Genomic DNA, 25,659 nt, shown 5'->3' on the forward strand with positions numbered 1-25,659 from the left:
CAGCAGAATATTATATGGCAATGACAAGGACCAAACTGTGATGTCATGCAAACCCTGGATAAATCCACTGTTAACTAAAGAAGGAAGATGCAAAAGTGCATCTGGTACTCAACAATGAAGTTAAAAAGTAGCAAAACTAATCTCTGCCATTAGAAGTCAGCCTAGAGAAAGTCAGCATGGTGACAGCCTTTGTGTCAAGGGGTGGTGTGAGGAGGGTTTCTGGGTACTGATCATGTTGCTTCTTGCTCTGGGTGCTGGTTACAATGTGAATTTTCACTTTGAGAAAATTCACCAAGCTGTTCACTTTTGATTTGTGCATTTTTTCATATGTAGGGTATACTTCAATCAAAAGTTCATTTAAAAAACAAAACAAGGCTGGGCACAGTGGCTCATGCCTGTAATACCAACACTTTGGGAGGCCAATGTGGGTGAATCACCTGAGGTCAGGGGTTCGAGACCAGCCTGGCCAACATGGCAAAACCCCGTCTCTACTAAAAAACTACAAAAAATTAGCCCGGCATGGTGGTGGGCGCCTGTAATCCCAGCAACTTGGGAGGCTGAGGCAGGAGAATTGCTTGAACCCGGGAGGCGGAGGTTGCAGTGAGCCTAGATTGTGACACTGCACTCCAGTCTGGGCAACAGAGAGAGATTCCATCTCAAAACACACACACACACACACACACACACACACACACACAAAACAAAACAACAACAACAACAAAACAACAAAACCAAAATTTTCCTAAACTCTTTCATTTCTTCAAAAATTCTCCTTTTTTCACATTAGGCTTCTCTGTCATAGGAAGATACGGTCTCATAACAAAATTGCTATACGCTTTAATAACACTTTTCAGGAACTAGAAGAAGAGCTAAAAGATTTGAGTTTTAGGTTTCATTTAATTTTCTATTAATTTCTGTGAACTATGTATTAAACGCAGACTGCTACTGCTTAACTGAGTGTTTATGTTCCTCCAAAATTCCTGTTTGGAAATCCTAACTCCCAAGGTGATGGTATTAGGAGGTAGGCTCTTTGGGAGGTGATTAGGTCACAAAGGTGGGGCACTCATGGATGGGATTAGTGCCCTTATGAAAGAGTCTGGAGTGATCCTCGCCTCTTCAGCCATGAGAGGTTACAGGGAGAAGATAGCTGCCTGTGAGGAAGCTGCTTTCATCAGACACTGAAACTGCCTGTGCCTTGACTTTACACTCCCCAGCGTCCAGAGCTATGAGAAATAAATTTCTGTTGTTTATAAGACACCTGCTTTATGGTATATTGTTTTAAAAGCCTAAATGAGCTAATATATTGCAGGAGACCACAGGGAGGGAGTCTGGTGCGTCTACTCCATTTCCTTCCTTCTCCATACGCAGGGGAACTGAGGCCTAGAGAAATTAAGTGGCTTGCTCAGGGCCACATGTTCTTTTTTTTTTTTAATTATACTTTAAGTTCTAGGGTACATGTGCACAACGTGCAGGTTTGTTAGCTAGGTATACATATGCCATGTTGGTTTGCTGTACCCGTTAACTCATCATTTACATTAGGTATTTCTCCTAATGCTATCCCTCCCCCTCTCCCCACCCCATGACAGGCCCCAGTGTGTGATGTTCCCCACCCTGTGTCCAAGTGTTCTCATTGTTCAATTCCACCTATGAGTGAGAACATGCAGTGTTTGGTTTTCTGTCCTTGTGATAGTTTGCTCAGAATGATGGTTTCCAGCTTCATCCATGTCCCTGCAAAGTACATGAACTTATCCTTTTTTATGGCTTGCATAGTATTCCATGGTGTATATGTGCCACATTTTCTTAGTCCAGTCTATCACTGTTGGACATTTGGGCTGGTTTCAAGTCTTTGCTATTGTGAATAGTGCCACAATAAACATACATGTACCTGTGTCTTTATAGTAACATGATTTATAATCCTTTGGGTATATACCCAGTAATGGGATGGCTGGGTCAAATGGTATTTCTAGTTCTAGATCCTTGAGGAATTGCCACCTGTTTTCCACAATGGTTGAACTAGTTTACACTCCCACCAACAGTGTAAAAGCATTCCTATTTCTCCACATCCTCTCCAGCACGTGTTGTTTCCTGACTTTTTAATGATCGCCATTCTAACCACAGTGGTATCTCACTGTGGTTTTGATTTGCATTTCTCTGATGGCCAGTGATGATGAGCATTTTTTCATGTGTCTGTTGGCTGCATAAATGTCTTCTTTTGAGAAGTGTCTTATTCATATCCTTTGCCCACTTTTTGATGGGGTTGTTTGTTTTTTTCTTATAAATTTGTTTAAGTTCTTTGTAGATTCTGGATAATAGCCCATTGTCAGATGGGTAGATTGCAAAAATTTTCTCCCATTTTGTAGGTTGCCTGTTCACTCTGATGGTCATTTCTTTTGCTGGGGGCACATGTTCTTTAGTAATAAAATTGCTGTTAAAGAAATACATCTCAAAATGAAAGTGATAACGGCAGTTTGTGTCCCAAAAGGTCACATGATTTCTCCTATTTAAAAATAAAAATAATGCTGGGAGGGAGAAGGGACTGGGTCAATCATTACATAAATACAGAATTTTAACTTATTTATTCAATTTATATAAAAGACAATGCTCTCATTTGGTTATTGTGACCTCTAAACAAATTTCCCTTCTAATCGGCACTTACAAGACGGTTTCTCCTTGGGACTTGGCCCCTAAATCTCGATGATTTGAAACAGCAAAGGTGTATAATTGTGCCATTGTCCATCAAGGGCCAGCAGGAGCTTTGCTCCACTGCTTTATGTCTTCTCTCTGGGACTCAGGCTGAAGAAGCTGCTCTCTAGACCATGGCAGGTTGTCACGGCAGTGGGAAAAGAGAATATGGCCATGTACACACTGGCTTTTAAACCTGCCTGGAAGTGACACACATCACTTCCATGTACACCTCTCTGTCAGAGCGAGTCCTGTGACCACTCCTAACCTCCTGTAGGCAGAGAGGTGCAATCCTACCATGTGTATGGAGTATTTTGGAACAGCCCTAATGACAATCTCAAGAAGGAACTGAAACTGTCCCCCATGGAGTCCCACATTTCCTCATGAGTTCTATCATTATTCACTGTGACCTACACTTTTTAAAAGACATGATGGAACAAAGATTATCTCTGCAGAAAGTAAAGCAGAGACATAAAAGGCAGCATTGGCAGGTGTAAATAAAGCTCTTTCAACTATAATTGAAAGGATTTTTATGAAAGGCACAAAGTGGTTTCATCTGCCTTTCTGCAAATAGCATAGTGGGTTGAATGATCAATATTCCTTTAAAGTGCCCAGGAACTGTTTCAGTTTTGACCAAAGGCAACTAAATAAATGAATTGTCCTTCTGGGCTTTTATATTGAACCCTTTAAATGAAGGCAGTTTACATGGCTGCAAACAATACATGTCCCGTGTGGTCACTGTAAGCATTAAATATCAATCAGAAGAGAGTGCTTTTAAATAGGGAGGGAAAAAATCCATTTGTTGGGGCTATAATCTCTAATGTTAAATTTAAAAAAAAAAAGAGTTTGACAGGTAATAATTTGTTTTGCATGACTTTCTCCCTTTATTTTCTCTGCACGCAGGTCTAACCATAAAATCATCAATACTGAGAAATTAAAAGGGGAACATGTCAGGCCTCACTCTTTCTGTATTGGATTTCAAGAGTATTGTCCTTGGTAAGTAGCAAAGAAAAAAAATCAAATTAAGACATACATTTAAATGGTCACTGGTCAAAAAGCAAGCCTGGAATAAAAGTAGCAGTCTATTGAAACATATACACAACTTGACTAGTTAGCAAGCACCAGTGCTTGTTCTCACACTTGAAATGATGCCAGGCTCAGATGCTTGCTTTATCATTTGAAATAAGGTTATACAATACATCCTTCTCCCTCTGTGGTATAAATATTGTTGATACTGTATAGTCATATTATTTGTTAGCTCAAAATCCAAGTGTTTGGGCATCATGGCATAGGATCTTACATAAAATTATTACAGTTGCATTAAGGAATACGAATTACTTAAATTATGAATTATCTTTCTGTTTACACTTTAATTCTTTAAGCAAAATTTCTAGGTGAAGCTTTTTTTTTCAGTATGGAATATAAAAGTAAAATTCAGACATGATTCTGGAATATTAAAGTTTCTATGTTAATGGCTTGTAATAATGATATAAATTTTGAGGATCATACCAAGGATGTGGGCTCCTGCAATAGGGTCCAGATAGGACAAGCAGTCAGGAGCAGATGGTGGTTTAGTGAGGGTAGGCAAAGGTTGTACCAGGGGATGGTGTGAGGAGTGGTGGTGGTCAGTAGGGCAAGGGGAGGAGAAAAAATGTGAGTCAAGGTCTTGGGGGCTGGAGCAGAGGTAGTCCAGATGCATGAATTCACTCCAGGAGAAAAATTACTCTGACACCCTCTAAAGGACCTTTATCCTTCCAAAATAAGATTTACTTGCTTGTTATGATCCCCAGTAGGACTTCCCTGTTAGAGAACCACATCGATTTATGGCACATTTAGTCCTCCTTGAACTGGATGTCAACCTCATTCCCTTAAGAGCTGTCTAGTTAGAGACAAAGTCTTGTCTTCTGGCCTGACTTGGGCTTCCAATGGAGATCTCTGTGCTTACATTCATTACCTCAGTGTCTGGGCTTGGCACATGGTGGTGCTTGATAAGCATTCATTGAATTAAAAATGTGAGCAGGATGGGAAAATACGGCAAATGATGGTCACATATTCTCTTCTATTCATCTACAACAAATTGTTCATTCTTTGTCCAGCATCAGAGCCATTTTAGGAACCTGCTTAGCAAATTAGGCACCTTTCAGAATTGCAGAATTTTCATTCTATCCTTGCCGGGATTACTTCCATGTTGTGAGCCTTTCTTGGCATTTCACCCTTCGCTCTTACATAGAAACTCAAAGTACCTTTGTTAACATTCATTTATGCTACAAGGTAGTTGGATTAAAAATGTCAACACTCCCATGACACAGAAAGAAGACCAAAGCTACCAGTAAAATTTCACGTGGAGGAAATATGGAAGTAGATTAGCAACCCCAGTAGTACTGTGGTATTGTTGCATTGATCGTACTATTGAATAGTGAAGAGCGAGGTACCTTATTTTATAAATGCCATAAGCAACATAAAATCACCCATGTACAAATATAAGACCTTTCACATGAATTTGATGGTGATTATATGTTGAAACCATAATAACTCTAGATCTCAGTGACTGTACTTATCTTCAAACACTTAGCTAAATCTGGAACAGATGAATATCTGAAGTTTGAAGCTGTACGCCCCAGGTTATTATTTTTATATCAACAAGAATATAAGAAAATGTACATTAACTTTTAAAAATAGCTTTTAAATATTCTAAGCTTTAGTGCACTTTTTTTCCAAAGCCCGCATAAGAGATATCATAATCTAACATTAACATCTTGCATTTTTAACTGTCCTTGTAAATTTATTATAAGAACACTACTTGGAAAACAGTATTTTCAAAAGGTATTATATTTACTAAAATAATGCCTTTGCCCCTTTGGTCTCTGAACAGCAGTGCACATCTTTGTATTCTTCTTAACTGGACTGATAGTAGTAGATACATAAGACAAGTTATAATTTTTGAGATTGTAGCCAAACGCAAGCTGGGCTGATCACTGCTTGTAAAGCCAAATGAACGAGGACGAGATGCAGTAAAAGGAAAGTGACTTTATTCCAAAAGCCAGCGGTTGGGGAAATGGCCAGGCTCATTCCTTACAAGAAACATTTCAAACTTTAGGCTGGGGAGAGGGGCTTAAAAGAGGAACTTGGAGAGGGAGGCATGCGGGCATGGTGCTGAGTGTAAGGTCGGTATGCCTTGTTCTGGTGGCCGTCTTGAGTCATGGTCCACCTGGAGCGTGTGCTGGTGTCATCTCAGCAGTGGCTGGGCTGTAGACTAATTACCTTGAGATCATCTCTGGAATTTCACAGCTAGCTCTCCATGCCTGGTTTGTCACAAGATTACCCCTGAAACTTCATTAACAAGCATGTAGTTAGATAAATGTGCATGGTGTAAGAGTGTATGGTGGGAGAGGGAGAGATGTGAAGTGTTGAAGTACACTTTAAGGCTATATTTTAAGACTAAGAAGGAAAAAAGACGTTTCTGCAATTTACTTCAAGGATACATCTTGAGACTAGGGAGAAAAGAGAAAAAGGGGAAAAAAAGTTTGAAAAATGTGTTTCGAAGCTAAACTACTCAGTTACAAGATGGAGACACAGCCCAGCAATGGGACCAAACTAAATTCCTGTTCATTTCCATTTCAGAATGATTTCTCAGAGGTCTCAACAGTGGTTCTCACGTTGGCTATACATTAGAATAGCCTGTGAAGCTTTTAAAAAATGCTAACACACAGACCCCACGGGAAACCATCTATAGTCTTTGGAGGGTGGAACCCAGACATTTGCTTTGTTAAAACTCCCATGTGGTTCTAATGCAGTCTAGGATGAGAACCCACCAGACTACAACCCACAGCAACTGAGTAGCAGGTGATGTCTCTTAAACAACTAACCTTCTTTATTTAGGAGTTCCAAATATCTGTTAGCCAGGAAGTAACAGTGTAGTGATGTTTCTCAAACTTCTCATTTTCCTATGACCTTCATAATTTTTGCCACATTTATGTATTGTGTTCTATTCTTTAACATTTTTTTCTAAATTAACTTATATTGTAAAACTGAAATACAAGTAATAAAAAATAAAATTTCTTTTTACAATTGTGAATAGGAAATTAATATCATTTGCCATCAAGAGAAAGCAACTGAAAAAACAACAAAAAACCCAAACGCCCCTCCCATTATTAAAATCCACTTGAATTGTCCACTGTTTCTTGCCCAAAGGCATCCAACAAGAGGCCTACTCTCTTTTTGTTGACAAGACAATGGAGAGATTCTTGTTTTTAACCACCCAACACTCATTCCCCTTGCCAAGGGCCCAAGCCTAAGGCTTCAGGCTACTGTTGGTCATTGAAACTGTCCAGGAAAGGCCATGTGAATTGATTCGTGCTGATGAAACACAAAGAGGAAGTTTTCTGGAACCTTTTGGGAAAAGAAGGTTTTTTTGTCTTTTGAGAATAGAATGCGTCTTTTCCTCTGGATGTTAACTGGGGCCAATGTTGAGTATGAGTGCAAGGCCTGGAGCTGCCACAGCCAATTGGAAAAGTTACTTCTAGCCCAAGAGTGAGGCCAATATTTTGAAGGCTCCAGAGCCAGTTGAGATGACCAGCCTGAGCACCCCCTCCACCCTCTAGGCTGTTTCATTTATTTAGGGCATTTTTAGTTGGGTTTTCTGTTGTTAGCAACCAATCACATCCCAATACAGGGAGAGCAGCAAGCATTCAAAGACATAATAGCACCTAACAGAGACTTTCTCTTTGACATACTTAGGAGGATGGAAAGAGAACTGGAAAGGAAGTAATATCCTTATTGATTCAAGGTCATTTAATGCCGTGTCTTTCTATCAAATGAAATCATTTTGTGGGCATACCTCTCCTACTTAGGAAATATTTATCTTAGGCTGGGAGAGGTGATGGCTTCACAGAAACAATGCTGCAGTAGGCTATGAGGGACTTATGTTTGCTTCTTGGTAACTTTCCTTAACAAGAAACTCCAAAGGCATCTTTGAAAGTGAGGGCTGGGGATGGGGGGAATAAATTATTCAAACAGTGTCTGTGCCTCTGGAATTAAGCACGAAGCTGTCTGAGCATATTTCATATCCTTTGGAACTCAAACTATGGCCAATGAACTAGTGTCCATGGCGTCACCTTGGAGCTTATTGAAATGTAGAGTCTCAGGCCCCTGACCTAGACCTACAGAATCAGAATCTGCTTATTAACAAGATGCCCCTTTAATTTGTATGCACATTAAATTTTGAGAGGCACTGTTCTAGGATGCATGTCACCAGCTGAGTGCTGCTTAGACCATAAACAGCTGTTGTGTGCAGAGCTTGGCCTCAGAGAGACCTGCTTCAACCCATGAATACCAGCTGTGTGCTCCCAGCCCGAGACTGTCTGCTTTGTTTCCCTTCAGTTTCCTCTACAAATGATAGGTCATCTGCACAAAAGAACCAGTTTCCGAGAATTCCTTGGGGTTTACTTAATACTAGTATATCTCAGTCCATCGCGAACATCCTCATCTTGTAGTTGTAGAAGTCATAGACACTGGGCCAGATGAAAACCTTTGGGCTTCTTTTCTTTGTTATTAAATTTTCTATATCCTATATTCTATATATATAAATTCATTCATTAACTCAAACACGGATTAAACTTCTTTGTGTCCCATGTAAACCACATCTTTTCAGATATTTTATCAAAGTTATTATGATGATTAACAATTCCCTGAGATCTTTTATATTCAGTACTTTCTGGGCTGCCCTGAAGAAATGTTCAATCAGGAGCTCTCCTGACTCTATGAAGCTTTAGAAATTCATTTTTTCTTAATATTACAGTTAATAGTCATGTAAGTTACATACCACTAGCCAGCTAATGGTTAGGTGAATGCAAGCAAAATAAATAAATAAAGACAAAATCAGAGCTCCTTCCCGCTAGCTGGGTTCTCTGTGCTTCACTTTGTACTTGCTCTTCAGGAACGATCTACATAGGACCTCAGGGACTTTGAATCTAATGTTCTACATCTGTAGAATGGAGATGGTGGTTCCAAAGGCTCTGAATATGAGGGAAAGTCCCCAGCACTTGCCCAGCATGCAGAGATGCTCAGTGAGGTGAGTGCCTGGCAGTGACGGAAGCAGGGATTTACGGCATATAAAGGGGAGATGAGGTCAAATCCAGTTTCTCACCAAAGGGAAACATATCCTTGACTAATGACAGCAAAGGGAGAATTGGAGGGAAGTAACCGAGGTTTAAATGTGGATAGTTTCTGGGAAGGGGCATAGGGCCCACTGCTCTGGGGAAAAGGGGCTTTGTGTCACTTGAGCCCTTGGGTTGGAGTTAGGAGTGCAAGAAGTTTATGGGGTGAGATAAGTGTCAGGGGAGGGCACCTGTGATAGATAAGAGGGGAAGGTTGAGCAGAGAGAGCCTACAACTGCAATCCAAATCTGACTGTCTCTGCGCACTCCTGGGAACTCTGGAGCCAAGAAAGCCTCTTAGAGGAGTTCTGTGTTGGGCAGAAATAGCAACACCTGAGGATCCCCGCTGTGCTCAATTGTTGGCTGGGCCCTGCCTGGGAAGAGTGTGGCCTCAGCTCAAAAGCTGAGGGAGAACCTGAAGAGACACACAGCTGGGGCCTGTCAGCTAATGACATTCTTGCATCTGAATAGCAAGTCACTTTCTTAAAGGGAGAGGCAAGCTATACACCTCCATGGCTGGCACAACCTGAGGGAATGAAAATCCTTCAGATAAATTTACAAGGATCCTACAGCAGAAGACACCATTCCCTAGCTTCCCAGGAGAAGCCTGGAGGGGAGCAAGCATTGTGGAAAGTCCGTGCACCTGAATGTCAGAGTAGCGATAGCTGTGGAGATACTGAAGCAGATGAACCTGTGGCTAGCTTCACAGCATCCTACACTCCCTGGTTGGGTCAAGGGAAACAGCTGAGAGCTGTGCTCCCAGGAGGGGGACCGCAGTGCAGCTAAGGTCAGCAGGCTAGAGAAGCCTTTAGGCTGGGCCAGGAGAAGGCAGACTGTGTAGACTGGATTGCCCATGACTGGCAGAAATGGATGAAACAGGAATGGAGTGATGCCCAAGAACTGGTGGAACTGGGTACAACTCAGGGGGGGTTAGCAAGGCCAGCAGGTAACTTTGGACCAGATTTGTACCCATCTGAGGGCTTCACCTGGGAAAGCTACAGGGAGGAGCAAGATTCCTAAATTGATGGAGTAATTACCAAGAACAAACAGAATTTTAAACCAGAGGGACTAATTTATCTTGAACTGATGAGATTAAGCTTTGTGCTAATGAGGAGAAACAGGGAAGTAGGAGCTAGTTAAATTCAGTTACAGAAAGGAAAGAAATTTACAAACTGCATTTCCCAGTTATGTAGCCTATTAAATTTCATCTCTGTTAAACAGAAAATGATATCTTTCGATATAATCATTTCACTTTTTGGAATCTAGTTTTATAAGTGGAAAAAAACTTTGCAAAAAGATTTATTTCCATAATATTTATAATTGTGAAATGAAATAAATGCCCAGCAAGAGGGTGTTAGATAAGTTATAGTACATCCACTTAATGACATATTAGACTACTAACAATGATATTGTCATTAAAATGCAATAGTATATAAGCATTTTTTAAATTAAATTGGGGGAACAAGCAGAAAGAAATATTGTACACTGTTTCTCAAACCTTTTGACCACACCACACCCAGGGTAAATGGTTGTTTTTGCATCTTGACCCAGGACACCCATACATATTTTATTACTGAAACAAAGGTTGCATGAGACAATGCTTGCCTACCCTGGGGACAGTACATTTTAGCATTTTAGATGCTCTTCCAATTTGTCTTTTTCCATGCTAGTTAGACCCACCACATAGGTTTCATGACCACAGATGGGCCATGACCCCTCATGGATTGAGCATGATCCCAGCGACGGGAAAGAACAATGACAAAAGAGTAACATCTAGAAAACGTGCTTGGAGAGAATCTGCCAAAATATCAACAGGACTGGAACTCTAGGGGATTCATTCACATTTTTCCATTTGTCTCTCAGGAACATATATGACTTTGTATAATGGAAATACTATTACCATGCTAATTTTTAAATTGATTCTAAGGCTTCTCTTTTCCAGGCTAAGTAATCCCAGGTCCTTGTTATCTGATAAATTCACATCTACCCCTGATAAACTTCTGAGATTAGAGGCAGCAGCCGGAGCTGCAGGCAACCTGTGCTCCTGAGCTACACAGTGCAGCTTTAGCACCTCCTGACTCACTGCCCCCCACGTGGCCACTGCTGAATTATGTGCATTTTAATGAGGAGATTGATGTCACTTTCCCTTCTTCCTCCCTCTCCAACACAATTTTATTGAGTGCCTGTTATGTTCCAGACACTATTCTAAAAGCTAGGTGTAAGATGAGATTTTAAAAAATGTGTTTCAGTTTTTTCTACGATGAGTATGTATTTATTTCACAATCAGACAATAAAAATACATGTTGTTTTAAAAGCCTATCTTAAGACGTGGCTCCTGCCTTCAAGATGCCCGTAACCTAGGAAAGAGGAAGTCACCTAAACAAATATGTCAGTATGAGACTTACTTTCAGTCCCTTACCCACCTCCTACTCTGGCCAGAAAGTGGCTCCTCAAAATGCCTTTTAATTGATAGGGGCCAAGACGTTGCTCTATTCATTTGCAGGACACCATGAAAATCATCTAACACCTACCTCTGACCCAGCTCTTACTTTTCTATTTCAATCTACTGTGCAGGAAGAGGGAAGGGGGAGAGAGAGGGGAGGGAAGGGGGAGAAGACAAAGAGGGAAAAAGAGAGATGGAATGGCATCTAGTCCAGCACTAGATCTAGGACAGATCAGGTCTGTGCCTTGTCCATAGACCAAGCTTGTCCAACCTGCGGCCCACAGGCCACATGGGGCCCAGGATGGCTTTGAATGTGGCCCAACACAAATTTATCAACTTTCTTAAAACATTATGAGATCTTTTGAATGCAGCCCAACACAAATTTATAAACTTTCTTAAAGCATTATAAGGGTTTTTTGTGATTTTATTATTTTTTGTAGCTCATCAGCTATCGTTAGTGTATTTTATGTGTGGTCCAAGACAATTCTACTTCTTCCAATGTGGCCCAGGAAAGCCAAAAGATTGGACAACCCTGTCATATACATTTGACTGAAGTTAGTGTTGGGGGCATCCTGAGGTGTTCAGAGCATCTTTTAGCTCTACACCTTTCTGGGTTTGAGTGGTACAACACAAGACTGTTTGGTCCATCAGAGTTTATTTCTCTGATTTCCCAAATGTGTCATGGATGGCCTGGCCTGTGACCTCCAGGGAAGTGAGAAGCAGGCTCTGTATTTGTCTGGCATCAATGCCTGCAGCCAGATCTTTCTGATTATTTTCAGGTTTTCTCAGTTAGTGAATAACGTTCTGATGGTAGCTTCTTCAGTACATTAACTTCTAATTCTGGTATTTCCCCAAAGACGTTCAAACAAGTAGGCAGCCAGCCAGCTGGGTAAATCACTAAAGAAAACTGCATAATACTCATGTCTGTGTGTCAGTGGCTACTGCTCCTGGTGAGTGACTGATTTATCACCATTGGGTTGAAGCAAGTTGTCTATTTGCTTTCCAATCATGGGTGGCTTGTCAAATTTTAATATAATGCCAGGGGTTAATACAGTCAGTCAAGGGTATTTTAACTCAGCAATTCCTGGACCTCTTGAACTCATGTCACCTCTGCTGTAATAAGAAAAATGTCCCCTCACTGTATTTTAATAATCTCTTGAACACAGTTGTGGAGGATTCTGACACTCTTAGCCATACTGGACTTCCCAGCTTGTTTTCACTTCAGAATGTGTGTACATTACAGGACATATGGGTTTTTTATTTCGTTTTGTGATATTGTTTGGCTGTGTCCCCACCCAAATCTCATCTTGAATTGCAGCTGCCATAATTCCCATATGTCACAGGAGGGACCCTGTGGGAGGTAATTGAATCATGGTGGGGAGGGGGCTCCCATGCTGTTCTTGTGACAATGAATAAGTGTCATGAAATCTGATGGTTTTATAAAGGGGAGTTGCCCTACACAAGTTCTCTCTTGCCTGCAGCCATGTAAGACATGCCTTTCTCCTCCTTTGCCTTCTACCGTGATTGTGAGTCCTCGTCAGCCATGTGGAACTGTGAGTCCATTAAACCTCTTTTTCTTTATAAATTACCCAGTCTCAGGTATGTCTTTATTAGCAGTGTGAGAACTGACTAATGCACAGAGTCTTGATCTGTTGCCTGGGCTGAAGTGCAGTGGTGCAATCACAGCTCACTGCAGCCTCAAACTCCTGGGCTCAAGCATATCCTCCTGCCTCAGCCTCCCGAGTAGTTGGGACTACAGGCACATGCCACCATGCCCAGCTAATTTTTTTAGAAATGGGGATTTTGCTTTGTTGCCCAGGCTGGCCTTGAACTCCTGGCTTCAAGCAATCCTTCCACTTTTGTCTCCCAAACTGTTGGGATTACAGGAGTGAGCCACCACACCTGGTCCATGTACTCTTCTGATACTTGCTTCTGATACTTACTGCACAGGTTAACCAGAGGTGTCTCAGAGTGTTTAGGATACATGTTTCAGAATTCTGGGAAACGTGGTGCAAAACATTTCTCTCCTGTGCCTATTTTGTTTGCACCTCATGATAAATGTTCCTTTGGCAGTTTTATAAACAGATTGCTAAAATACCACCTTTCTTAAGTGTGACAAGCTTGCTGGAGAGGACTGCTGGGAGTTGGGTGGGCCAGGCGCAGTGAGTATCTGCCTTGGCCTGAGCTGGTGATTTGACAACATGCAGGTCATTTGTTTGCAGAGTTGGCCCAGCTCGGAAAATTTTGAGATGCCATCCTTCAAGCAGACATGAAAATAACATGGCTGATCCTCTGAAAGCCAAACATGCTGTTTCTGTGTGAATTTTAATCTTCAAGAATGCCTCTTGGACCAACTTGTGAACAGCATGAAAGACAGTGCCTCACAGAATGTAAGAGGGTCTTAGACCTGGGAAGCCAGCTGGTCCGTAGTGGAAGCCTGCCCACCTGCCTGCCCCTAATCAGGTCTCTCTTAGGAGAAACAAGCTCTAGCTCAGTGAATGAAGCAAACACAGATAAAACTGGGTATTTACCAACCAAAACAACCAGTCTACAGAGCAACAATGAATTAGGTCATCTTGATAATGCATTCATAATCTCTAGAAACCTAATGTATTGTAAGGCAAAGGAGTATGTTATTTGAATTCATGTTCAATTAATGTAGAAATTAGTTGTAACTGGGTTCAGGCCTATCCATGCCACAGAGCACATGGAGTTCATTCTGTTTTACACATCATCACACCATCAATGGAATTCCATGTAAATTCCAGAGAGTAAAGTGAGGAAAAATACTAGATGCGTTGGGAAAGGAAAATGCCCAAGACTTCATAGCTAATGGGAGTTGGTCCTTCAGGCAGAAAGCCTGTTTCCATTCACTGGCCCCAAAGTCCTATGTCCAGCAGGCTACAGAATGTTCTCAGCTGAGTGGTGCAATTCCTGTTGCCAAACAAACTTGCTTTGCATTTGAATGGTTTGGGTAAACCAATTTGTGACCTTTTGAAGCTCACAGATTATAGTCACAGCTTTTGCTTCCCTTTGAAAGGAATGACTTAATATGGCCAATACAGTAGCCACTGACCATATTAAGCACTTGAAATGTAGCTGGTTCCAATTGGCATGCACTGGAAGAGTATAGCATATGCTGTATTTCAAAGACTTAACACACACACACAATGTCAGATAACTCCAAGATTTTTTAGAATTGATTTCATGTTGAAATGATAATGCTTTGAATATAGTGAATTAAGTATATTGTTAAAATTAATTTCACCTGTTAAAATTAATTTCATATTATTAAAATTAATTTCTCTGAGGATAAAGACAGGGTGGGAGACAATGGAAGTGCATGCATTAGAAAAGATCCCAGCACTGTAGGAACACTTGGACCAGATTCATTCTTTCAGTGGATCCGCATATATTTTATGTGTGGTTACTAGTTGCTAAAGATTTAATGATGAACAAGGCATACATAGCAGGAGAGTTGGTGAGCATGTCATCTACAGTTGCAGTCTCACATCTTCACTCATATTCTCTCCTCAGGCCATTCCTTTCAAGCTTCTCTGGACACCATCACTCTATGAGGCTGCTTGGTCAAGGTCACCAATAACCTCTGTGTTGGCAGATGCAATGGCCACCTCTCTGTTTATATCCTATTTCACTCTTACAGTATATAGTTGAACTCCTTCAAACACTTTTCTTTCTAGGCCTCCAAGATACTGCACTCACCTGATTTTCTGCCTCTCTCCCCAACAGCTCCTTCTCAGTCTCCTTTGCTGATATCTCCTTCTTTGCTTGATGTTTATATGCTGAGCCTGCAATTTCTTCCTGCCACTATCTGTACAGATTGTCTGGGTAATCACATTTGATCCTGTGACTCTAAATAGAATCTATGCCCCTTCTTTCTGGAACTCCAAATTCATTATATCCAACTGTCTACTCCCAACATCTCCAATTAAAATATCTAAAAGGCATCTTAAAATCAACATGACCAAAAAAAATTTGGTGGTTCTTTCCAAACCTGTTTTATTCTTAGCTTTCTCCATTTTGACAAATGCCAGATACAACTACCCCAGTTGCTGAAGTCAAAAATGGAGAAGGGAGGACTTCTGGTTTCAAGATTGCTGAGTAAAGCAAAGCCCTTTCTGCCTTTCTTCTTTCAAAAACTACCCCCTAAATTACTAGAATAGAACAAAACAAAGGAATGCGAACCTCCATTTTAAATAAAACCAGAAGTCCTTGGTGATTTTGAACCATCAAGTATAAAGATAGAAAGAAGATGAAGAGGTGGGAAGAGGCTTAGCAGAGTGGATGCAAGTGAAACCTAAGCACCTGTAGAGAGACAGACCAAGGAAGAGCAAGCTGGGTGACCACATGAGACCCTGAAGAAGCTCCAGAATGGGAGGCATACATTATCACTAAAGGCAGAAGTAGAGCACAGGGTTGCAAACATTGCAATTGAAGATCTGTATAAGCAGTAGTTGGACCTCCCCCTACTATCTCAACTAGACTATCCCTCTGGTAAACTCACAGTAGACAAAAGTTAGAGTCCCTGGAGAGATTGAACTAGAAGCGTACTGTATTTAGGAACCAAGGCACAGAAGTAGAAGAAAATTGCGTCGGCTAACTGAAAAGTACAACCACAGAAACTCCCAATCACCAGCTCCAGAAGTCAAAGGAAACTTGTAGACCATATCCAGGCAGGAGATCGGAGGATCCTTTCTGGAGAAACTGAACTGCCACAGAGAAATTACCCAGAAACTGACAAATGAAGGTCTCTGTGAGAAAGCAAGATGGCCACACAGTTGCCCTACACTAAAACCCACCCACCAACAAGTTCCACCCAAACACACATGATGGCTTAAGCTGAATTATGATATCCAAGGATGATCAGCCTTTAAGAAAAGTCTCTGGTATAGAAGAGAGAGATCAAAATTAAACAGAAAGCCAAAACTTAGAGGAAAAAGAGATGATGCAAAAAAGCCCCAAGACTTTAGATGCGGAAAGATAGAATTTAAAAATGGTAAAGAGAAAATTATATTAATATATAAAATTCTTACTAATTATATAGGAAGTATTTTCAGAACTGAAAGACCTAAGTTTCCAGATTGAAAGGGTCTCAGAAATGCACGAAAAAAGATATGTATCAAGGCACACCATCATAAAATTTAAGATCTCCAAAGCTAAATCAAGGCGTTCAAAATCTTTCAGAGAAAAGGCATGTCACATAAGTGTTAGAAATCAGAATGGCAGCAAATTTCTCAACCTCAACATTTAAAATAAAATATAATTAAAGCAATGAGTTCATGTGAAGAAAAGAGAACCCTTCTACACTGTTAATGTAAATTAGTACAGCCATTATGGAAAACTTTATGGAGGGTCCTCAAAAAACTAAATATAGAATTACCATGTGATCCAGCAATTCCACTTAATGCATGAAATGATATTTACCCAAAATATTTGAAATCAGTTTGTCAAAGAGATGTCTGTATTCTCATGTTCATTACAGCACTATTCATAATTGCCAAGTTATGGAATCAATCTGTGTCCATCAACAGATAAATGAATAAAGAAAATATGGTTTATATGTACAATGGAACATTATTTAGCCTTTAAAAAGAAGGGAATTCTCTCATTTGTGACAACATGGATGAACTGGACAACATTATCCTGAGTGAAATAAGCCAGGCACAGAAAGAGCTCAGTTATGTGTGGAATCTAAGACAGAAACAGTCAAACTCATAGAAGCAAAGGGTAGCATGGTGGTTACAGAGGCTAGAGAGTGGGAGGAATAAAGGGATCATGGTCAAAGGATACAAAATCTAAGACAGAAGGAATGAGGTTTTATTTTGTGACCTGTTGCACATCATGGTGAATATAGTTAATAATAGTGTATTATACATTTCAAAATTGCTAAGAGTAAATTTCAAATGTTCTCAACAGGAAAATAATAAGTGAGGTAATGGATATGTTGATTAGCTTGACAATTATTCCACATCATATTCATAAATTATAACATTACTTTGTACCCCATAATGTATACAATTATAAATTGTTGATTTATAATAAAATAAAAATATTATATTCAGAAGTGTTTTATAGAGCTAGTAGAGGTATGAGAAGACCTAGCCAGTGAGTCAAAAAAAGAGGCAATTAATAACTCTAGCTAAAACAAACATTTGGAAAAGAAAATTGTATATGTGAACTATAACTGAGATTACCTATATCTAGTATGTAGGGAAAAAAGAATGAGTCCAAGAAAGATAGTACCCCAGTTACAGAAATGTCTAAAATCATTATACTTGATTCCAAGATAGTAAAAATAATATAAGGTTAGATCCCTCTACTGTGTTCTTTTCCATATTTACTTTCCTTCATGTTTATGAGTTTCAGGTATGAGTAACTAGGCGTAATGTGGTGTCACTTGCTAAGACAGACAGCATGAAAAAGAAGCAAATATAGAGGATTGGGAAGCACTGGTTCGTGTCTTAATTTTGGATATGTTGCGTTTGAGGTGGTTGTTAGACATTGGGCAGGCAGGGGTATATTGGCTATATGGATCTGGAGCTCAGAAGGAAGGACTAGACTGGGGACATCTAACTGGGAAGGGTTGTAAAGGCATCAGTGACAGTGCTAAAGTTACCTAGAGAGGAAATGTAGTGTGAGAAGAGGGTCTGGAAACAATTCTTGAGGAATGATGAAACATTAGGGAGAGAGAAGGGGAAAGCATCTGGCAAAGGAGATTGGAAATGAGAAGACAGACAGGTAGAAAGAAAAGTCAGAGAGCGTAGCTCATGGAAACCAGGAGAAGCCTTCCTGACCCATAAGCCACTTCCTAACATGAATTTAGATTCCTCTATTATCCTTCTTTTCACGTTGTACTTTCCCTCATGTACTAAGATGAAATGAATATTTACGTAGTTGATTGATTCATTTGTTCATTGAACAGTGCCAGAACTGTTCTAGGATGCAGATGCAGCAGGTACAAGTCAGACAAGGCCTTTGTTTTCATGAAGTTTATCTTCTAGTTGGGGTTAACAGTTGGGGATATTAAGGAAGGAAGTGGAGGAAGGACATGGTTAGTGTGTCAAATTCTTCTAATAAGTCAATGACAATGAGGACCGAAGACTGTCTACTAAATTAAACCACACAGAGCTTATTGGACACATTAGCGTGGTAGAGACAGAAATGAGATCAGAAAGTCCTAAGGAACAAATGATGAACCAGTTGAGAAAGGAAATATAGACACATCTCATGGGGAGATTGAGCCAGAAGGGTGAGAAGAGAATAGTGATGGAGGAGATACAGGGAAAAATCCAGTTTAAGATCAGAATAGTCAGAACGTGTTTAACAGATGATGAGAAGGACCCAGCTGCTAGAATGAGATTGAAAAGGTAAGAGAAAATAAGGGTAGATAACAAGCAGCATAAAGTTTCTTAGAAGAGGTTTGGAAAGAGGGACCAGAGCACATATGGGGACCTTTGCCTTTGATGGCAGAAAGGACACTTTATCCATCATAGCAGGGTGGCAGGGATTTGCAGAGAATGATGAATTTTAAGTAGCAATTACAGGAAGCGTGCTTTAAGATCTAAAACATATGCATTCTTTATTCCCTACCATTGACTGGGGGCATTCATTTATTAAGAGGAGCAATAGAAGAAGAAGGTGAGGGACAATAGATGAGAGGGGCTTGTGAGGTCAAAAAAGAGTTGAAACAGGAGTATCCAAGCAAAAACACTGTAAAGAGAGAAGGCTGAGGACCAAAGAAAGGATACTTGAATTCATGAATTTAAAGATCTGTGGGCAGGAATGGGTGAGATGGAGTATAGGGGAAGGTTATCGGGAATGAAGAAACTCAGAATGTTCATGGCCAATGAATCAGATGGCCATCCAGTGTGATTCTGGTGTTGCCTAGGAGGATGGCAGGAGATGGAGTAGAGAAAAAGGCGGGGCTACAGTCCTCACAGCCTTTTGCCGACTGGTCTCTGTCAGGTCCTGGGGTCTGGGTCCAGCCCATGCTGAAGTCCAAGGGGAGTGGGTGGATGAGCAGAAAGAACACTCGGTGGGGGCATAGGCAGGTGAATATGGTTTTATTCAGCAGCAGCTCTCTTAGCAGCTTATTCACATTGTCCACCTTTATTTCAGCTGTTTGCTCTGGCACTGCGGCTCCTACAGCCTCCACGCCTGCAGCTGCATGGCCAGCTCTCCCTTGCCTTCAGGGTCAGCAGCTTAACTCTTTCTGTTTTGGGGCACCAGCGCACTGAGCTGTGTGGCTTCCTTCTGTCCGTCTGCAAGACAGACAGCTTTGGCTCTCTCTCTCCCTTTCTCTGGGCGCCAGCATGCCCACCATGTTAAGCCATATTGAACCTAGCTGAGCCCCAAGAGTCCCTGTACAGCGTTAGCAGGGAAATTTTACCTTTGTGACTTAAAGCAAAGTATGAGCTTACACAAAGAGGTTATATAACAAGCGGAGGTGTGCGCCTGCTTGCCAAAGTTGCTGAGTCATGCAGGCCCGGATATTCGCCTTGGCCTATTCCTTGACCAAAGCACATCCATGTACCTTACAGCTTCGCTCATGGGACCCACCGAGGGGACTAAAAGTGGGAGAGGATGGATTCATCAACAAAAATCTGGCCCTAAAGTCAGAAGAAAGGGTGTGCTGGGAGGCAAACCCCAAATGTTGACCGTGGTCCCAGTAGATGCACTATTTGGGACCAGCCTGCCTCATAAGATCAGCCCTGGAATTGGGGCCAGGGATTTCTGTTGTTCCCTTCCACCTTTAAGCTCCACACTTTATAGTTAACATGGCACTTCACAGTTTACTTTAAAGCCAGAGGCCTGGGTGTTGCGTCAATAGTGGCATCCGTCTTCAGACAAAAGCCACATGTCCCAAGCAGTGTTTGGGGCAGGTCAGGCTTATGTTCCCTTAAGCTGCAGGTGGAGGAACACTGCCCTTTTATTTAGAGAAGTACTTCTCAAAAGTGCTTCAGCATATGCCAGCATCACCTAGAGGGCTTGTTAAAACGCAGATTGCTAGGTCCCAGCCCCAGAATTTCTGATTCAGAGGGGCTGGTGTCGGGTCAGAGAATTTGCATTTCTAACAAGTTTCTAGGTTATGGCAATGCTGCTGGTCTGGGGACTGCACTTTGAGGACCACTGATTTAGGCCACTGGTTCTCAATTCTGGCAGCACACTGGAATCACCTGGGGGGTTTTAAAACCCACTTGGTCTGGGGTAAGGCCTGAATATCAGGAATCTTCAAAGCTTTCCTGGTGATTATAAAATACAATGAGAGTTGAGAGACTCTGATTTAGAGTATGAGCCCTGCTTGAGAAAAGCACATGGGACAATTGATTTCTTTCTCCCTTCAAGCGGCAGTGGATATTTACTTAATCTGTTTAGACATTCAGTTTCCAAGAGAGAGTTCATTATGTATGTTACATCTACTATATCTCTGATATATTCCCTTATTTGACTTTGTGGGCTTTTTTCCCAGATCATCATAGACTGTGCTTTCCAATCCAGAGGGAAATTGTGGCGTTTATCTGAAACGACCCATTTAGATGGATTTGCAATTTAAAGGGAGATTTGGAAATGTGGCATATTTCATTTCATTAATGGAAGTGACATACATGGCTCATTAAGCCCCACCAGTAAGTTTCTACTTGAAAAACTTTATAACTTGCTGGTCAGCCTTGGGGGCCTTCACATACTCAAAAAACACATTTCAATTTGTAGGCGTTTATAATTTGGAATTCACAGTACTTGCTTCTAGGTTGTCTGCATTAGCAAGCTAGCAGCAACCAGGACTAAAGTGCTACACAGTGCCTTTTGCACTCAGGAAGTCATCGTTTATTTGTTATTTCTTGGTTGATTTATACTTAGCTAATTATTGCTCTACTCTTGGCCAGTTATAGTTTCTTCTGTAGGGTCCATGATTCTGGAAGTTTGTAGTTGTGGCCAAGTTATAATGAATTCCTTTCGGCATTCCTATAACCAAATTACATTAATCAAACTTAAAGAACTCTCCCCAGATTCTGCAACATTAAAAAAAAAAAAAAACCAACAACAATAGCAACTAAAGACATTGTGACATAATCAAACCTATTCGTGGTACTGTTTAAGGGTATGAATATTGGAGTCTGAATACCAGGTTACAATTCCTATATAAAGCACTTTACTTTTCAGGCAAATTACATAATTTCTCTGAGTTTTAATTTCTTCACCTGTAAACTGGGCATTTTAAATCACCTGGCTTAACTACCTCACAGGTTGTATCAAAAAACACGAAGTGTGTGTTTTCTTTCTGTAAACTGTTAAATAAAATACAAATGTTATTTCTACCATAGTGCTTGCAGAAAGTAAACTTCCAGAAAATAGACTTTTAGGGATAATTGAGGCTTCACCACAAATATTTTTTATTTTAATTAGAATGGAAACAAACATACTTTTCTTCTGTGTTCAACAATCCTGGGACCAAACCAAATAACTTACTTACTTGCTCCAGGAAATTCTTGTTCCCAGAGGCTGAGAACCAATTAAATGGCTGACTTACCAAGAGTAACATCTTGTTCATTAGTACTCACTTCTATACCCTCTCCTCACTGTGCCCAACAACCCAAAGATATTGTGTTATAAACTGCCCAATCCTAGTTTCCTGCCTTGCAAGGCTTGCCATAAAAGCCATCCATCCCAGGCACTAAAATACTATAAATATCCTCTCCTGAGTTTCCCCTTTTGAGATAAAACCAAGGCTTTGTCAAGGTGGTGTTTTCTCTTTCCGCAATAGGATAAAAAGCTTAGCTTTGCTTGATCAACAGGTTTTTCTGGTAGTTTTTTGGGAAATAAACATAATCCTGTGAAAAATCTTCCCTAAATGTAGTATTCCAACTTTCTTTCTTCCACAGCAGGATGGCCTGGTGGAACATACTATTCAGTGCCCTGGGTGATCATTTAAAATATGAATTTTTCATCCAAATGTGTAGTCCACTAAAGTTCCAATAATTTCAAACCTCTGAATGATTGAGTCCTAGTTGAGAGTGGAATGAAGTAGTCCCCAAAGCTGCTGCCTCAGAATTTGGGGCCCAATAATAGGGCAATTCAACTTCCATGGGAGCTTCTGGTGCCCAGCCAAGAGCTGAGGTCTTCTGGCTTAACGTTTGTTAATTACGGTATAGTTGAGGTTTTCAGACTTCGGTGTGTATAAAATCATTGGAGAAGCTTATTTGTAATGTAGATTTCAGAACCCCATCCCCAGAGATTCTAATTCATAGACACAGAATATAGGGCCCCAGAATCCATATCTTAAGTCTATAGTCTTTTACAGACCATATTTTGAGAAATATTGAATGATTATAGGGGAAGTAAGACCCTCGTGGATGCAGGAAACTGGTTATGATGAAAATCTTTAGATAATATCTAGTAATGAGGCACAATATCCTGAAATAACACTGTTTATTCTGGGCTTTAGTTTCCTCATTTGCAAAACAGAATTGCGAAGATTTATTAACCACAAGAGTTAAAGTATATTTGGGTTCATGAGCTGCCCGATTCTCCTTGCTTGATGCTCTGCAAATAAAAACCCTCCTTTCTCTTGCTGCAAACCTCACTGTGGATGTTTGGTCTTACTGTTCCAGGCAAGTGGACCCCAGTTTGGTTCAGTGACACCCGGGGCCAGGGAATAGGCTTCTGCTATGCCGTTGATCTGTCATCCTCAGCATGTGGCTTCCACTTTCTAGTCTAAGGCTCATGCAGCCACCACTTCTGCATTCCAGGCATCAGGAAGAAGAAGGGAGAGCAAAAGACAGGAATCTTCTCCATAAGGCACTTCCCAGAAGTTGCACATGTCACTTCTACTCACATCTCATTGGCAGAATTAAGTCACGTGATTATACCTAACTAAAACAGAGGCTGGGAAATGCGGTCCTTGTTCAGAGCAGCCAAGTGTCTGGCTAACATTCAGCAAAGGAAAGCGTATCTATTATTAAGGAGAGGGGAGAGAACCAATTATTGGTTTCTGCTACATGGACGTTGTATAAAGGGCCTTAGCTATCATGTTGGAATAGTTTGTATTTAATTCATCTAGGAATTTGGAGACAATACATTGTTTAGAGGCAAAAATGTGACATTATTTTACGAATATAATCCATCTTTCAGTGATCTGTAGGAGGGACTAAAAGAAGGAAAACTTGAAGCAGGAAGGCCAAATCCGTGATGGCAACAGGTAAAGCAAGAGGTAATGTGGACAGAATTTAGCAGCAGCAGTAAGAATAGAAAGGAGACACTCAACTGAAAAAATGGAACCAAAAAATTTGGTAACTGAATTTACTGTGTGGATGAACAATGAAATGAGAATGTCAAACTTCAGTCGTGACTGCCCAGAATGGAAGAGCACAAGCTCAAATGTCTACAGAGGCCCTGTAGATAAGTAATTGGGCAAAATGGGCTCCCATATCACCCAATAGGAAGGCAGGGGGCCTTCCTGGTGCCTAGCAATAGAAAAGCTGCTCAGGCCCCTGGAGACACCACTGCTCAGACTTTGAATACCACTGGGGCCGTCTTGGGGGGCAGGGGCAGGGAGATAGGAGTCTCAAAAGAGACTCCTACAGCAGGAGAAATAAAACATTTATCAATATCTCCCACTTAAAAATCTCAAACTACCCTATTAAATGAGTATAAAACACTTATATAACCACTTCCACCCTAAGCCTCCAAGATGGATAAGGATTATAAAATAGTCAGCATTTCTACATGCCCTAACAATATCTAAGAGCTAAAATTTATGTAATGTTTTGTTGTTTTCATTTTTTTAAAATTCATTTATTTACTCATTCTCTTAAATGGGATTCCCATTTTACATGTGAGAAAACTGAGAAATAGTCATGTTAACTAACAGTCATATTGCCGGAAGGGGTAAAGCTGAGATCCTAACTCGGGCCTTTCTGCCTCATCATCCCAAGGTCTCCCACCTCTGTTACATGAATGAGCAGAAAGCGATCACTTCTGGATTGTGTGGATGTGCATGCATGCTGTCAATTTTATTGATCACAAAGAGCTAAGAATGCCCTGAGTAATCTGGAAAACACAATTGTTATGTCACTTTCAGAAAAACTGCTTCCGTGTGGATTGGTAGTCAGTGTTCCTGTAATATGAGAGTTTTCTCTTCACTTGGGACATTGAGACCTAGTGATGTTTCTGGCTTTCTGAAATCTCTTGCACATATTCTCTTGGTTGGTGTGGCAACTGCTTCTGTTGCTGCTACTGACGTACGCAGGCCTTTCATGTTGCTCACTGAACTTACTGAGACTTCTAGGTTGGCTCATGACCCAGATGCATTCCTTAAACTCTTCCCACCTGAACTCATAAACACACAAACCCTGCTTTGAGCCTCCTTCAGAGAATAAAATCTCTGTTAACCTGGAATAAAATATATCTAGTAAATAAAGAATAATGTATTACCATTGTTGATGACATAAGGAATTTTGAAACAGCCCAAACATCTCATCATAGGGTTTTATGTGCCCTACTTATGTATCATCATAAGCTTATAATGAAAGAGCTACTCAATGAAATGTTATTTATTTATTCATTAAAAAATGGTAAATGAGCAGTCAAGAAATTGAATGTGGCTGTGGTTTTTATCACGTTAAAAAAAAAAGGAAAATGGCAGGAAGGAAATATACCAACATTTTAACATTGGTTACATAGCCTGTAGCACATTTAAACAGAAAGAAATCTTGTTAAAGGAACATTTTGTGAGAACTGCAAATCAACAGAACACCAGCATCTCAGCTGTTAGATTTGGTTCAGATATTGATCAATAATAATAACAAGAGGGGTTCTTTACTTAAGACTTCATGAAGCGAATAGAAATTTGAAGAGAATGACTAAACCCATGCTTTAAAGCAAGAATTATATGCAGTCTTACAAGAGAGTGGAAAGCATGATGAAGAATCAAGTCCTGGAGTCAGACTACTAATTGCAAGGCTTTAGGAAAGTTACTTAACCTCTATGTGCTTCTATTTCCTTTTTTTAAAAAAAATGGCACGGTGAAACCCCGTCTCTACTAAAAATACAAAAAATTAGCTGGGCGTGGTGGCGGGTGCATGTAGTCCCAGCTACTTGGGAGGCTGAAGCAAGAGAATGGCTTGAACTGGGAGGCAGAGCTTGCAGTGAGCTGAGATCGTGCCACTGCACTCCAGCCTGGGCGACAGAACGAGACTCTGTCTCAAAAAAAAAAAAAATGGTGTTGTTGAGGATGAAATAAAACTACCTGGCAAACAATAAGTACTCGATAAAAGTTACTAGAAGCATTCTGACATTGATTCTCTTTCTTTTCTTGCTAAGAAAATGTTGATAAGCATTAGCCGCATGTAGCAAAAGAATG

General features: G+C 40.6%; 1 long non-coding RNA gene across 1 annotated transcript in view; it reads left to right on the top strand.

Annotated features, from left to right (window-relative positions):
* LOC105374313 (uncharacterized) overlaps nucleotides 1-25,659 on the top strand; it is a 54,559-nt gene that overhangs the window by 24,910 nt on the left and 3,990 nt on the right. The window contains exon 2 of the long non-coding RNA NR_136187.1: nucleotides 3,586-3,678. This is a non-coding gene — a long non-coding RNA (uncharacterized LOC105374313). The remainder of the gene's footprint in view (nucleotides 1-3,585; nucleotides 3,679-25,659) is intronic.

The sequence above is a fragment of the Homo sapiens genome, chromosome 3 (assembly GCF_000001405.40).
Source record: "Homo sapiens chromosome 3, GRCh38.p14 Primary Assembly".
Classification (NCBI taxonomy): domain Eukaryota; kingdom Metazoa; phylum Chordata; class Mammalia; order Primates; family Hominidae; genus Homo; species Homo sapiens.